This window comes from Homo sapiens, chromosome 20, assembly GCF_000001405.40.
Source record: "Homo sapiens chromosome 20, GRCh38.p14 Primary Assembly".
NCBI classification, from domain to species: Eukaryota; Metazoa; Chordata; class Mammalia; order Primates; family Hominidae; genus Homo; species Homo sapiens.
Genome location: NC_000020.11, coordinates 34,212,778 through 34,228,731, shown reverse-complemented (window position 1 = coordinate 34,228,731; position 15,954 = coordinate 34,212,778). Strand labels below are relative to the sequence as shown.

General features: G+C 44.0%; 1 protein-coding gene and 1 pseudogene across 3 annotated transcripts in view; one reads left to right on the top strand and one right to left on the bottom strand.

Annotated features, from left to right (window-relative positions):
- Nucleotides 1-15,954, bottom strand: part of ASIP (agouti signaling protein) — an 82,852-nt gene that overhangs the window by 40,613 nt on the left and 26,285 nt on the right. The window contains exons 1-2 of one of the 3 annotated variants that reach the window (XM_011528820.2): nucleotides 11,232-11,342; nucleotides 6,128-6,195 (exon numbers count right to left, since the gene is read on the bottom strand). The exons of 1 other annotated variant lie outside the window; for it this stretch is intronic. The gene's annotated coding sequence lies outside the window, so the exon portion shown is untranslated. Of the gene's footprint in view, nucleotides 1-6,127; nucleotides 6,196-11,231; nucleotides 11,343-15,954 lie in introns of those variants that run through there. One more of the 3 variants, XM_011528821.1, reaches the window with a different exon arrangement.
- XPOTP1 (exportin for tRNA pseudogene 1) lies at nucleotides 12,639-15,246 on the top strand (annotated as a pseudogene).

The following is a 15,954-nucleotide window of genomic DNA, read 5'->3' as shown; positions in this document are numbered from 1 at the left end:
CCGCAGGGTCCTCTGCCTAGGAAAACCAGAGACCTTTGTTCACTTGTTTATCTGCTGACCTTCCCTCCACTATTGTCCCATGACCCTGCCAAATCCCCCTCTGTGAGAAACACCCAAGAATTATCAATAAAAAAATAAATTTAAAAATAAAAAATAAAAAAAAAATAAAAGGCAGATTTTACTGAATGTAAATTACATATTAATAAGCAACTGCCACAAAACCAACAAAACCCAGTTGCTTTGGTGTCGTAGCATGTGCAGCTCCATGACCCTTGAGGAGGCTCAGCACGCTTTTCAAAACATCCACGTGTGATTCCGACATTCTAGCATTTGTATTTAGAAAGGAAGTGAAGACTTTTCTGCATGTTGTTTTGTTAAAATGTTGAACTGAGGTTTGAGTATGTAAATATTATTTTTTCCTGTGTAAACACATCAGCCAAAAATATATTGACAAATACATATGTTCAAAAAAAAAATAAATAAAAAATAAAGTAGTTTCCAAAGGAAAAAATAAAAAAAATAAATAAAAATTAATCAGGAAAAAAAAAAAAAAAAAAAAAAAAAAAAAAAAAAAAAAAAAAAAAAAAAAAAAAAAAAAAGAAAGTTCTATAGTGTTAGATTTTACATTTATGTCTACAGTCCATTTTGAATTAATTTTTATATGGTGTGAAGTTATGAATTGAAGTTCATTTTATTGCATATGGCTAACTGTTCCAGTACCATTTGCTGAAAAGATTATATTTTGTACCTTGTGGGAAATCACTTGACCATACATGTGTGAGTCTATTCCTAGACTCTCTATTCTGAACTACTGACTTGTCTATCTTTATAGCAATACTACACTGTTTTGATTATTCTCCAAGTCTGGAAGTCAGGGAGAGTGAAGTCTTCAAACTGTTCTTTTTTGAAGTTGTGATTACTCTAAGTCCTTTGTATTTCCACATGAATTTTAGAATAAACTTGTCAACTTCTACTAAAACCTACTGGGAGTTTGATTGGAGTTGTGTTGAATCTATTGATAAACCTGGGGAGAACTGACATCAGAACAATATTGAGTCCTCTGATCCACGAATATGGTATATCTCTTTTTTTTTTTTTTTTTGAGATGGAGCCTCACTCTGTCACCAGGCTGGAGTGCAGTGGCACAATCTCGGCTCACTGCAACCTCCACCTCCTGGGTTCAAGTGATTCTCCTGCCTTAGCCTCCCGAGTAGCTGGGACTGCAGGTGTGCACCATCATGCCCAGCTAATTTTTGTATTTTTAGTAGAGATGGGGTTTCACCATGTTGGCCAGGATGGTCTCGATCTCTTGACCTCGTGATCCGCCTGCCTCGGCCTCCCTAAGTACTAGGATTACAGGTGTGAGCCACTGTGCCCAGCCTGGTATATCTCTTTACTTATTTAAGTATTAATTTCTCTCATTAATGTCTTATGGTTTCAGTATATGAGTCTTGCACAGATTTATCATTAAAAATTTAATATTTTTGGTACCATTATAAATGGCATTTTTTAACACGTCAATTTGTATTGTCTTTGCTACAATATAGAAATAAACTAGTTTCTGTATATTAATCTTGTATGCTTCAAACTTGCTAAACTCATTTATTAGTTCTAGCAGACTTTTTAAGGACTTCATTGGATTTTTTACATAAACAATCATGTCTTTTGCAAATAAATAGTTTTACTGTTTCATTTCCAAGCTTATTGTTTTTTATTCCTTGTTCTTGCCTTACTGAATTAACTGGAATGTCCAGTAGAGAGTTCAATAGAAGATGTGAGAGCAGACATCCTTGCCTTGTTCCTTATTGTAGAAGAAAACATTTGGTCTTTAATCAAGTATGGGGCCAGGTGTGGTGGCTCACACCTGCAATCCAAGCATTTTGGGGAGGCCAAGATGGGAGGATCACTTGAGGCCAGGAGTTCAAGACCAGCCTGGTCAACATAGCAAGACCCCATCTCTATAAAACATAAAAAAAAATTAAGTATGTAAGTTAGCTGTAGATTTTTTGTAGATGAGCTTTATCAGACTGAGGAAGTTCCTTTCTATTATTAGTTTGTTAAGACTTTTTAAAAAATCAGGCTGAGTGCAGTGGCTCATTCCTATAATCCTAGCACTTTAGGAGGCTGAGGCGGGTGGATCACTTGAGGTCAGGAGTTTGAGACCAGTCTGGCCAACATGGCAAAACCCTGTCTCTACTAAAAAATATAAAAATTAGCCGGGCCTTGTGGTGTGCACCTGTAGTCCCAGCTACCTGGGAGGCTGAGGCAGGAGAATCGCTTGAACCCAGGAGGCAGAAGTTGCAGTGAGCCAAAGTCGTGCCACTGCACTCCAGCCTGGGTGACACAGCGAGACTCCATCTCAAAATAAAAAAGTTAAAAAAAAATCAGAATAAATGTTGAATTTTCTCAACTTTTTAATGTATTTATTGAAAATGTCATATAGCTTTTCTTTTTTAGTCTGTTAAAATGGCAAATTACATGGACAATAATGGTAAGCTGACATAAGAGACACACGTTCTAAAGTAGGTACACGTCAGCTGAGCGTGTGGCTCACGCCTGTAATTCCAGCACTTTGGGAAGCCAAGGTGGGTGACCTCCTTACCTGAGGTCAGGAGTTCAAGAATAGCCTGCCCAACATGGTGAAACCCCGTCTCTACTAAAAATACAAAAATTAGCCGGGTGTGGTGGCACATGCCTGTAATCCCAGCTACTCAGGAGGCTGAGGCAGGAGAATCGCTTGAACCTGGGAGGTGGAAGCTGCAGTGAGCCAAGACTGCGCCACTACACTCCAGCCTGGGCGACACAGCAAGACTCCGTTTCAAAAAAAGAAAAAAAAAAAGTAGGTGCACATCTAGTTATTACATAAGTATTTTAAAATCAGTGGTTTTTGTATATGCCAACAAGAACCCATTAAAAATGAACAAAAACAAATCTCATTCACACCCAAAACAACAAAAATAAAATAATTAGGAATATATTCAAGCAATTATGAGAACTTATACAAAAAAAGCTATAAACTCTACTGAGAGACATGAGAAAAAACATGAATCAGCGGAGAGAGAAGCTATTTTCCTTCATGGTAAGAATTATTATTACGAAACAAGACTTCTCCAGATTAGTACATAAATTTAACATAATTTCCACCTAAATACCAATGTAATTTTAATTTTTTTTGTAAATTACATGTGAAGTTGATCTGAGAAAAACTGTGAGAATGATAAAATATTGAAAAAGAAGGATGATAAGGGGAGCACATCCTGTCAGATGTTAAAAAGTATTATAAAGCTATAATTTTAATGTATGGTACTAGAACCAGAATAGTTCAATAGAACAAAATAAAGTCTAAAAGTAGACAATAATGTTGATAAGAATTTTCTATATAACAAAGGTGCAGGCAGGGCGCGGTGGCTCACACCTATAATCCCAGCACTTTGGAAGGCCTAGGCAGGCAGATCATGGGATCAGGAGTTTGAGACCAGTCTGACCAACATGGTGAAACCCCGTCTCAATAAAAACACAAAAATTAGCCGGGGGTGGTGGCACGCACCTGTAATCCCAGCTACTCAGGAAGCTGAGGTAGGAGAATCGCTTGAACCCAGGAGGCAGAGGTTGCAGTGAGCTGAGATTGTGCCATTGCACTCCAGCCTGGGTGACAGAGCGAAACTCGGTCTCAAAACAAACAAACAAACAAACAAAAACAAAGGTGCTATATTTCAGGAAGCCTAGTGGTAGGGCTGCCAAAAGTATAATGATAAAAAAAACATGCAGGATCCAATCTAGAAAGAAGGTTGAGACAAGAGCACAACTTTTAATACAAAATAAAAAGAATTAAGTGGCATATGGGACAAAAAATTAGGGAACTAAAATAATTCAAAGGAAAGAGAAAAAGTCTTGGTCATGTTTGCCAAGCTTTGAATATTAGACCTTGCTTTTTTCCCAGAGATTGTCAGTGCACCCTGGTTGTGCAATATCAACCAGGATTAGGCAGGTGTGGGAGCCACAGAAGCCACTCCACCACACTTTTAAGTCATTTCATTAGAGTCGCCTCAGAAGTCCTGGTGAGACAATCCTAGGAGTCCTCTTTGGCTGTCTTGCTTGATATTCTCAAGCAAGTCCATTCTGCTAGACGCCTGCATCTGGGTACTCCTCCCTTTTTAACTCATCCCCACAGGGTCATTTAAGAAAATGTATGCATGTTTCTGATTCATAACTATATTATGATGATTATTCTTATAAACCCTTTTGACGTCTAAAAGCCTTAGAGCCACTCAACAGTCCTGTTTGGGCCAGTCTCCTGGAATATGAGATTCCTTCTGTATGGCCAGTGGTGCAGAATGGCTTTCAATGGAGAGAACAGTCTGGCAGTCTTAAGGCTTGGTGTGGTAAAGTCACTTGGATCCAGAGAAGGCATATGCACAGACACCAGCCCAGTCATCCCAAGGAGACAGCTTATCTTTCCCTAAGTATTTCTAAAAGGGTCTCCTGAGTAACTTTTTTTTTTTTAATTTATTTTTTTATTGATAATTCTTGGGTGTTTCTCACAGAGGGGGATTTGGCAGGGTCATGGGACAACAGTGGAGGGAAGGTCAGCAGATAAACAAGTGAACAAAGGTCTCTGGTTTTCCTAGGCAGAGGACCCTGCGGCCTTCCGCAGTGTTTGTGTCCCTGATTACTTGAGATTAGGGATTGGTGATGACTCTTAACGAGCATGCTGCCTTCAAGCATCTGTTTAACAAAGCACATCTTGCACCGCCCTTAATCCATTTAACCCTGAGTGGACACAGCACATGTTTCAGAGAGCACAGGGTTGGGGGTAAGGTCACAGATCAACAGGATCCCAAGGCAGAAGAATTTTTCTTAGTGCAGAACAAAATGAAAAGTCTCCCATGTCTACTTCTTTCTACACAGACACGGCAACCATCCGATTTCTCAATCTTTTCCCCACCTTTCCCGCCTTTCTATTCCACAAAGCCGCCATTGTCATCCTGGCCCGTTCTCAATGAGCTGTTGGGCACACCTCCCAGACGGGGTGGTGGCCGGGCAGAGGGGCTCCTCACTTCCCAGTAGGGGCGGCCGGGCAGAGGCGCCCCTCACCTCCCGGACGGGGCGGCTGGCCGGGCGGGGGGCTGACCCCCCCACCTCCCTCCCGGAGGGCACGGCTGGCCAGGCGGGGGGCTGACCCCCCCACCTCCCTCCCGGATGGCACGGCTGGCCGGGCGGGGGGGCTGACCCCCCACCTCCCTCCCGGACGGGGTGGCTGCCGGGCGGAGACGCTCCTCACTTCCCAGATGGGGTGGCTGCCGGGCGGAGAGGCTCCTCACTTCTCAGACGGGGCGGTTGCCAGGCAGAGGGTCTCCTCACTTCTCAGACGGGGCGGCTGGGCAGAGACGCTCCTCACCTCCCAGACGGGGTCTCGGCCGGGCAGAGGCGCTCCTCACATCCCAGACGGGGCGGCAGGGCAGAGGCGCTCCCCACATCTCAGACGATGGGCGGCCGGGCAGAGACGCTCCTCACTTCCTAGATGTGATGGCGGCTGGGAAGAGGCGCTCCTCACTTCCTAGATGGGATGGCGGCCAGGAGGAGACGCTCCTCACTTTCCAGACTGGGCAGCCAGGCAGAGGGGCTCCTCACATCCCAGATGATGGGCGGCCAGGCAGAGACACTCCTCACTTCCCAGACGGGGTGGCGGCCGGGCAGAGGCTGCAATCTCGGCACTTTGGGAGGCCAAGGCAGGTGGCTGGGAGGTGTAGGTTGTAGTGAGCCGAGATCACGCCACTGCACTCCAGCCTGGGCACCATTGAGCACTGAGTGAACGAGACTCCGTCTGCAATCCCGGCACCTCGGGAGGCCGAGGCTGGCGGATCACTCGCGGTTAGGGGCTGGAGACCGGCCCGGCCAACACAGCGAAACCCCGTCTCCACCAAAACCAGTCAGGCGTGGCGGCGCGTGCCTGCAATTGCAGGCACTCGGCAGGCTGAGGCAGGAGAATCAGGCAGGGAGGTTGCAGTGAGCCGAGATGGCAGCAGTACAGTCCAGCTTCAGCTCCGCATGAGAGGGAGACCGTGGGGAGAGGGAGAGGGAGACGGAGAGGGAGAGGGAGAGGGAGTAACTTTTGCATTACCATTACCTTAGAGCTTGTTAAAGATTCCTGGGTCCCACTTCAGATCTGCAAAGCAGGATCTTAGAATCTAGGGCCTGAAAAAAATATATATTTTACAAGTTTCTCTGCATGTTAGGCTTCTACAACGACATCTGTTCTGCATCTAGTTTCAGAGTTGCTCAATACGGCCCTCGAAGCAATGATTCTGAGTCATGGGTCCTTACTGGTTATTCAAAAGAAGCTCTGGAGCCCTAAACCACAAATGAAAACACCTAAGGCCTGGGCTACTTATTTGCTGTAGATCATAGCAGTTACAGCCTCATCCTCCTCCATCTGTAGCCTTTTTTTTTTTAATTATCCTTCCTCCCTGTAGCCTACCATTGCCAACTCAAATTCTTTTAGGTTCTATGAGCTGTAACTGGGTATTTTCTATGGCAAAAGCTGGTATCCTACAGCTAAAGATTCTTTATATCCACATGCCTGGTCAATCTTTTCTTTATATTTATTTATTTATTTATTTTTGAGATAGGGTCTCACTCTGTTGCCCAGGCTGGAGTGCAGTGGCACAATTATGGCTCACTGCAGCCTCTACCTCCCAGGATCAAGCAATCCTCCCACTTCAGCCTCCCAAGTGGCTGGGACTACAGGCACATGCCACCACACCTGGCTAATTTTTGTATTATTTGTAGGGACAAGGTTTTGCCATGTTGCCCAGACTGGTCTTGAACTCCTGAGCTCAAGCAATCCACCCACCTCGGCCTCCCAAAGTGCTGGGATTACAGGTGTGAGCCACTGTGGCTGGCCTAATCTCTTCATTACAGTGTCCTTTGCTCTTTTCTTTCTATTCCTTCCGCTATGCCCTAGAGACCTTCACTGCCAGAATTAGGCTCACACACACCTTCTTAGTCTGTATGGTTCCAGTTTTCTTTTTCTAAAATCTTTTCCACCTACTTTCTGCTCAAAAACCTAAAAGGACTCCTGGTATCATCCACATCAAGTCTAAATGTGTCTGTTTTCCAGGCCCTTTATAACCTATCCCATTTTGCTTATTAGACTTTACTTCTAACTATGCTACATATGCTTTCCATTTATTGCCCACATACGTATCCTGCTGATTTCAACCCATGGATCAGATTCATCTCAGTGTCCCTGGAACATGATAAAAAGAGGCAGGGTAGGGCCCAATAAATGCAAGCTGACTGAGTCAACATTTGCCATTTGTTTCCCTTTCTTTTTCTTTTTTTTTCTTTTTTTGAGACAGAGTCTCGCTCTGTCGCCCAGGCTGGAGTGCAGTGGCGCGATCTCGGCTCACCTTAAGCTCCGCCTCCCAGGTTCACGCCATTCTCCTGCCTCAGCCTCCCCAGTAGCTGGGACTACAGGCACCAGCCACCACACCCGGCTAATTTTCTGTATTTTTAGTAGAGATGGGGTTTCACCGTGTTAGCCAGGATGGTCTCGATCTCCTGACCTCGTGATCCACCCGCCTCAGCCTCCCAAAAAGCTGGGATTACAGGCGTGAGCCATCGCGCCTGGCCCTGCCATTTGTTTCCCTTTCAACATCCTCTTTTTATATTCCACAAATTCTTCAAGTCCCACATTCTGCTTGAAGACCTCCTCAGTTTCTCCAGCTCTTATGACATCCTCCTTCACTGAAGAAAAAAAAAAAAAAAAAAAAAAAGAAGGAAAGAAGAAAGGAAGAAAAACATCCACACAACAGAGAATGGGCTTTCGGAGTGACAAAAGCATAGGGAAGAGAAAGGAAGATTAATAGTCTGAGAGCAACCACTCTTTAGTTGTTCAGGAAATACATCAATCATGAGTCATTGACTTTCTATGGTACCATATAATCTGTATTATTCTGTTCAGAACACGTATATTGTCAGTGTTCCGTGCTAAGCATGTCAAATGAATTCATTCTGCCTCCCTATGTCAGTTCAGGAGTCATTCCTTCCTGCTTCCCTGATTCCCCGTGTTGAGTTAAATGCTTGCTCTCCATGGTCTCATGACACCTTGTGCTTACTTCTTTTTTTTTTTTTTGAGAGAAGGTCTCGCCCTGTCATCCAGGCTGGAGTGCAGTGGCATGATCTCAGCACACTGCAACCTCTGCCTCCTGGGTTCAAGCGATCCTCCCACCTCAGCCTCCTGAGTAGCTGGGACTAAAGGTGCATGCACCACACCCGGCTAATTTTTGTATTTTTGTAGAGACAGGGTTTCATCATGTTGCCCAGGCTGGTCTTGAACTCCTGGGTTCAAGTGATCAGCCTGCCTCAGCCTCCCAAAGTGTTGGGATTACAGGCGTGAGCCACTGCACCCGGCCCCTGTGCTTACTTTTAACTTAATCTCTTGTATTGAAAATGCCCATTTATTAGTCTGATTCCCCCTTAGACTTTGAGTTTCATGAGAGAAGGTCCAGACTTACTAGTCTTTTTATTATCTGTTCCTTTTATGGGTATGTCAGTTCTACACGTGTAGATGGCACATAAACCATCTCTGAAGTAACTAGACTGTAAACTTTGGAAGATAAAGTTCATTTTTTTTTTTTAAGATGGAGTCTCGCTCTGTCGCCCAGGCTGGAGTGCAGTGGCACGATCTCGGCTCACTGCAAGCTCCGCTTCCCGGGTTCATGCCATTCTCCTGCCTCAGCCTCCCTAGTAGCTGGGACTACAGGCACCCACCACCACGCCCAGCTAATTTTTTTGTATTTTTAGTAGAGACGGGGTTTCACCGTGTTAGCCAGGATGGTCTCAATCTCCTGACCTCATGATCCGCCTGCCTCGGCCTCCCAAAGTGCTGGGATTACAGGCGTGAGCCACCGCTCCCAGCACATGTTTTGTATTTTTTATCTTTATATTCTGGGTTCCCAGCTCAGTGCTCAGGTGTTCAGAAAGTTTGTGAATGTTAACATTTCTGTGCTCTGTTCCTCTCACCACCCACAAGCAACCTTACACTTGCCCAGCAAAACCTAGTAACTGAGCACTTTTATTCTAGTAAGTGCTTATACAGTGTTATTCACTGAGATTAATGCTGTTGACCACTATGAGAGAGAAAGAGTAAACAAATTTATTAATTATATTTTGCTTGGAAACTCTATTGCAGAGTCTAATTGTTTAAATAAGAACTTCTGCCTCTCTTTCCTACTTTCAGAGAATAAGTTTTGGAGCCAGGCAGAATTAGATTTGAATCTTGGCTTTGCAAATACACTAGCTCCTGGTCTTGGGTGTGGCCTTTTGGGAGATTAAATTAAAAATGGGGATAACAATACCTATTCTGCAGGATCATTATGATGATTGAATGTGTAAAGATAGAAAAGGTGTTTAAGCACCACACTTGGCACATAACAAGCATCCACAAAAGTTAGTTTTTACTCCTTGATTCTCTCCTTCCTCAAGAGGATCACTTGGATCACCTCTTTCCATATAGTGTCTAGTCTAGTGTATTACATGACATTATCTAGTTTAGCCTAAGGTTAGGCTTCCTTTTCTTATACTACCTGTTCCCTAGGAGCTTTGAGTCTATATTTATATACATTTGAACATGTAATGTGTATGTGTTTGGAAGTCTATACAACTGCCTATAGTGTACATCTGTATACAAGAGCCATAGGTTTCCAGCTATTCTCACATTTAGTTTGAGAAACTTCAGAGGGTTACGTTAAAATTGCTGAAAAGGGGCCAGGCGTGGTGGCTCACACCTGTGATTCCAGCATTTTGGGAGGCCGAGGTGGGAGGATCACGAGGTCAGGAGATCGAGACCATCCTGGCTAACATGGTGAAACCCCGTCTCTACTAAAAATACAAAAAAATTAGCTGGGCGTGGTGGCGGGCGCCTGCAGTCCCAGCTACCCAGGAGGCTGAGGCAGGAGAATGGCATGAACCCAGGGGGTGGAGCTTGCAGTGAGCAGACATCGTGCCACTGCACTCCAGCCTGGTCTCAAAAAAAAAAAAATTGCTGAAAAGGACACATGCTCCTTTTCCCTTGCTACTGCCATCTCCACCAGCCTGATTCCCCCTGTTAAATGACAGCACTGTGAAAAATTCCTGGGATTAAGCTAGGGTGGGTGAGCAGATATCTAAAAGCAAATAGGAGGAGTGCTCCCCAGAAGTATCCAGCTATAAGACCTGCATGCTGCTATTGCTCAGTAATAAAAAATGATAAATGGGTGATGCCACTTTGCCTCAGTGGGACTGGATAAAAGTAATGAACAAGGCTATATTTTTCCCAATCTCTCCTTTTTAGAAGGGAGTGGTGAAGAAGTGGTAGGTGTACAAGGCACACCAAATAGCCTTAGTGAACAGCTCCAAATATCATATCCTGCTTGTGGGCTCTGTCATTCCAATCTGAGGATTTGTGGGAGTTTTTTACCCTCATAATGCTGAAGCCAAACCTCCATGCTCGCAATTTCCCAATTGTCTCCAAAATCATTAATAAAGTCTGAACGTATCTTCCAAAACAAAGTTAATCTTAATGAACTTATATTTCTAAAAATGTGTGTCATAGAGTTCCATTTCTGGCAAAGGCTGACTAGTTGGTCTTTTTCAAACATCTTGCTGAGAACAATTACAAATGCTGAACAAATTAGCACTTTTTAAAAACAGCAATTTGGAGCTATGGAAGAGCTACAAAAGCAGTGAGAATTTGCTAGTCCAAGATCTGGAGAAAAAGAGAAGCCAAGTAAGGTGAGACTGGTATTTGGAGACACTTTACTCTGAAGACAATTGCTGATTCCAAAAGCAAAAGCAGCGCTGAGAGGCTGAAAAGAGCTTTCAGCGGGCTGGGCGCGGTGGCTCACGCCTGTTAATCCCAGTACTTTGGGAGGCCGAGGCGGGCGGATCACGAGGTCAGGAGATTGAGACCATCCTGGCTAACACGGTGAAACCCCGTCTCTACTAAAAGTACAAAAAAATTAGCCGGGCGTGGTGGTGGGCGCCTGCAGTCCCAGCTACTCGTGAGGCTGAGGCAGGAGAATGGCGTGAACCCAAGAGGCGGAGGTTGCAGTGAGCCGAGATCGCGCCACTGCACTCCAGCCTGGGCAACAAAGCGAGACTCCGTCTCAATAAATAAATAAATACATAAATAAGCTTTCAGTAGATTCCCAGCCAGGGCTGATGAGACATAAATTGTAGTAAGGTACCTGAAAAGGAGGAAGGGTCCTGGTAAATATCCCCAGGCTTTCTTTTTCTTTTTTTCTTTTTTTGAGTTGGAGTCTCATTCTGTCCCCCAGGCTGGAGTGCAGTGGCGAGATGTCGGCTCACTGCAACCTGCGCCTCCCAGGTTCAAGCGATTCTCCTGCGTCAGCCTCCGGAGTAACTGGGACTACAGGCACCCACCACCACGCCCGGTTAATTTTTGTACTTTTTGTAGAGATGGGGTTTTGCCATGTTGCCCAGGCTGGTCTTGAATTCCTGCGCTCAAGTGATCCACCTGCCTTGGCCTCTCAAAGTGTTGGGATTACAGGCGTGAGCCACCGCGCGCAGCCTCTCCAGGCTTTCAGCTGGGACCATGAAGGGCTCCACTCTAGGGATAAGGGCAAATTGGAAAGAGATCAGCTCTCACAAGGATTAAAGCCCAGCTTTGACTTCCTCAGACACTTACTAGATGAAAGTTTCAGCCTCTAGCCTATTCGCTTGACAGAAACAAAAGTAAACCCTTCTGGAGAGAGATAACATCATATAGAACCTCAAATCGTCTCCAGAGCTCCACAGGCTTTTTTGAAGAAATTGACAACATGGTTCTAAAATTTATATGGAAATGCAAAGGACCTAGAATAATCAAAACAATATTGAAAAAAGAACAAATTTAGAATATTTATACTCACAAGTTCAAGATTTGCCACAAAGCTAGAGTAGACAGATACAGATGAATGGAACAGGATCAAGTCCAAAAATAGATCTATACATATATAGTCAACTGATTATCAACCAAGGCATCAGATCAATTCAGTGAGGCAAAGGAATGCCTGTTTAACAGATGTGTGAAAAAAACTGGGTATCTCTATGGAAAGACAGCTCTAACCCCTATGGCATTCCATACAAAAAATTAATTCAAGATGGATCATAGACCTACATTAAAAACTAGAACCATAAAACTTCTAGAAGTATATCTTTGTGACTATGGAGTAAACGGAAATTTCATAGGTAGAACATAAAATGTACTAACCATAAAAGTAAAAATAAAATATTGGACTTCAAGAAAATTTATTTTTTTGCTTATCATAAGACGCCATTTTGAAAGGAATAAATAAGAAATAGACAGGAGACGGCCCCAGCCCGCGGGCTGCCGCCCGCACTCTCCATGAGACTGCTGGCGCCAGCGCCCGCCCGCGCGGCACCTACTCGGAGAGGGCGCTTCGCGCTGACTCAGCGGCGACGGCGGCGGCGGCGTTAGCTGGCCCTCGCGCTCTTTCCCTTCTTGGGGCGCTGACCCCGCCCGCTTGCTTGCTTGCTTGCCTGCCACTCAAGAGAAGGTGCCAGGGGACGCGGAGCGACGAGAGGCGTGCAGTCCCGGCCAACTCCGTCTCTGGCGTTGGCGCTGCGGTCGTGGCAGAGGACTACGGCGACAAGGACGAGGGCCGCTGTCCCAGCTCTCTGCGAGCTGCGCCGCTCGGCTCCGTTCCGCTGGCTGACCATGGAGTTCAGGCTGGGAGGCGGGCTGGAGTGATAGGGAAGATGTTTATAAATTCTTCTGTGGGATCAGAGGGCAAGCCTATTATAACCAGAAAACTCCAAGTATAGCAGCAAGGATGGATAAACAGGCTCTATTAGGGCTAAATCCAAATGCTGATTCAGACTTTAGACTAAGGGCCCTGGCCTATTTTGAGCAGTTAAAGATTTCCCCAGATGCCTGGCAGGTGTGTGCAGAAGCTCTAGCCCAGAGGACATATAGTGATGATCATGTAAAGTTTTTCTGCTTTCAAGTACTGGAACATCAAGTTAAATACAAATATTCAGAACTAACCACTGTTCAACAACAACTAATTAGGGAGACGCTCATATCATGGCTGCAAGCTCAGATGCTGAATCCCCAACCAGAGAAGACCTTTATACCAAATAAAGCCGCCCAAGTCCTCGCCTTGCTTTTTGTTGCAGAATATCTCACTAAGTGGCCCAAGTTTTTTTTTTGACATTCTCTCAGTAGTGGACCTAAATCCAAGGGGAGTAGATCTGTACCTGCGAATCCTCATGGCTATCAACTCAGAGTTGGTGGATCGTGATGTGGTGCATACATCAGAGGAGGCTCACAGGAATACTCTCATAAAAGATACCATGAGGGAACAGTGCATTCCAAATCTGGTGGAATCATGGTACCAAATATCACAAAATTATCAGTATACTAATTCTGAAGTGATGTGTCAGTGCCTTGAAGTAGTTGGGGCTTATGTCTCTTGGATTGACTTATCCCTTTTAGCCAATGATAGGTTTATAAATATGCTGCTAGGTCATATGTCAATAGAAGTTCTACGGGAAGAAGCATGTGACTGTTTATTTGAAGTTGTAAATAAAGGAATGGACCCTGTTGATAAAATGAAACTAGTAGAATCTTTGTGTCAAGTATTACAGTCTGCTGGCTTTTTCAGCATTGACCAGGAAGAAGATGTTGACTTCTTTTCAGCATTGACCAGGAAGAAGATGTTGGCCAGATTTTCTAAGCCGGTAAACGGAATGGGACAGTCATGGATAGTTAGTTGGAGTAAATTAACTAAGAATGGGAATATTAAGAATGCTCAAGAGGCACTACAAGCTATTGAAACAAAAGTGGCACTGATGTTGCAGCTACTAATTCATGAGGATGATGATATTTCTTCTAATATTGGATTTTGTTATGATTATCTTCATATTTTGAAACAGCTTACAGTGCTCTCGGATCAGCAAAAAGCTAATGTGGAGGCAATCATGTTGGCCGTTATGAAAAAATTGACTTATGATGAAGAATATAACTTTGAAAATGAGGGTCAAGATAAAGCCATGTTTGTAGAATATAGAAAACAACTGAAGTTAGTGTTGGACAGGCTTGCTCAAGTTTCACGAGAGTTACTACTGGCCTCTGTTCGCAGAGTTTTTAGTTCTACACTGCAGAATTGGCAGACTACACGGTTCATGGAAGTTGAAGTAGCAATAAGATTGCTGTATATGTTGGCAGAAGCTCTTCCAGTATCTATCTCATGGTGCTCACTTCTCAGGTGATGTTTCAAAAGCTAGTGCTTTGCAGGGTATGATGCGAACTCTGGTAACATCAGGAGTCAGTTCCTATCAGCATACATCTGTGACGTTGGAGTTCTTCGAAACTGTTGTTAGATATGAAAAGTTTTTCACAGTTGAACCTCAGCACGTTCCATGTGTACTAATGGCTTTCTTAGATCACAGAGGTCTGCGTCATTCCAGTGCAAAAGTTCAGAGCAAGATGGCTTACCTGTTTTCTAGATTTGTCAAATCTCTCAATAAGCAAATGAATCCTTTCATTGAGGATATTTTGAATAGAATACAAGATTTATTAAAGCTTTCTCCACCTGAGAATGGCCACCAGTCCTTCCTGAGCAGCGATGATCAAATTTTATTTATGAGACAGTTGGAGTGATGATTGTTAATAATGAATACCCGGCAGAAAGGAAAGAAGCCTTAATGAGGAATCTGTTGACTCCACTAATGGAGAAGTTTAAAATTCTGTTAGAAAATTTGATGCTGGCACAAGATGAAGAAAGGCAAGCCTCTCTAGCAGACTGTCTCAACCATGCTGTTGGATTTGCAAGTCGAACTAGTAAAGCTTTCAGCAACAAGCAGACTGTGAAACAGTGTGGCTGTTCCGAAGTTTATCTGGACTGTTTACAGACATTCTTGCTGGCCCTCAGTTGTCCCTTACAAAAGGGTATTCTCAGAAGTGGAGTCTGTACTTTCCTTCATCGAATGATTATTTGCCTGGAGGAAGAAGTTTTTCCGTTCATCCCATCTGCTTCAGAACATATACTCAAAGATTGTGAAGCAAAAGACCTCCAGGAGTTCATTCCTCTTATCAACCAGATTACGGCCAAATTCAAGGTACAAGTATCCCCGTTTTTACAACAGATGTTCATGCCCCTGCTTCATGCAATTTTTGAAGTGCTACTCTGGCCCGCAGAAGAAAATGACCAGTCTGCTGCTTTAGAGACAGACTTTTTCAGTGTTCACTTCAAAACTGTCTCAGTCTCTACCTATGACTCAATTCCAAAGCCACTTTCACATTTTTCAGGTGTTGGTTATAGCAACACTCCACTCTCTGGCATTAACTTTCTGTCTTAGACTGTTTTGTGCTGCTATAAAAGCATACCACAGACTGGGTAATTTATAATGCAAAGAAAGTTATTGGTTCACAGTTCTGGAGGCTGGCAAGTCCAAGATAGAAGGGCTGGCATCTGGTGAGGGCCTTTTTTGCTGTGTCATAACATGGTAGAAGGCATCACATGGCAGAAGGATAAAGAAAGGATGGAGGAGAAGGAGCAAGAAGGGTGAACCCACCCTTGCAATAATGATAGCAGCATTAGGTCTATTCACAAGCGTGGAGTCCTCATGGCCTAATCACCTCTTAGAAGTCTCACCTGTTGATACTGTTACAATGGCAACTAAGTTTAAAGTGACTTTTGGAGGGATAAACATTCTAGGAGGCTTCTTGCTTATAGTAGTATGTCAAGTGCTGACTGGTAAGTCCTACAGTCACTCAAAAGCAGTGCTGGAGTTGGAAAATCTTAATTTTGCAACCATCATAGTAAGAATTGATTCAAGTAAGAATCATCAATAGATGCAAGATATATGCACATTCTTAAAGTATTTCCCCTACAGATTGCTTATTAGTTATAAGGGTAAAGAATGGAAATATCTCAATGGAGT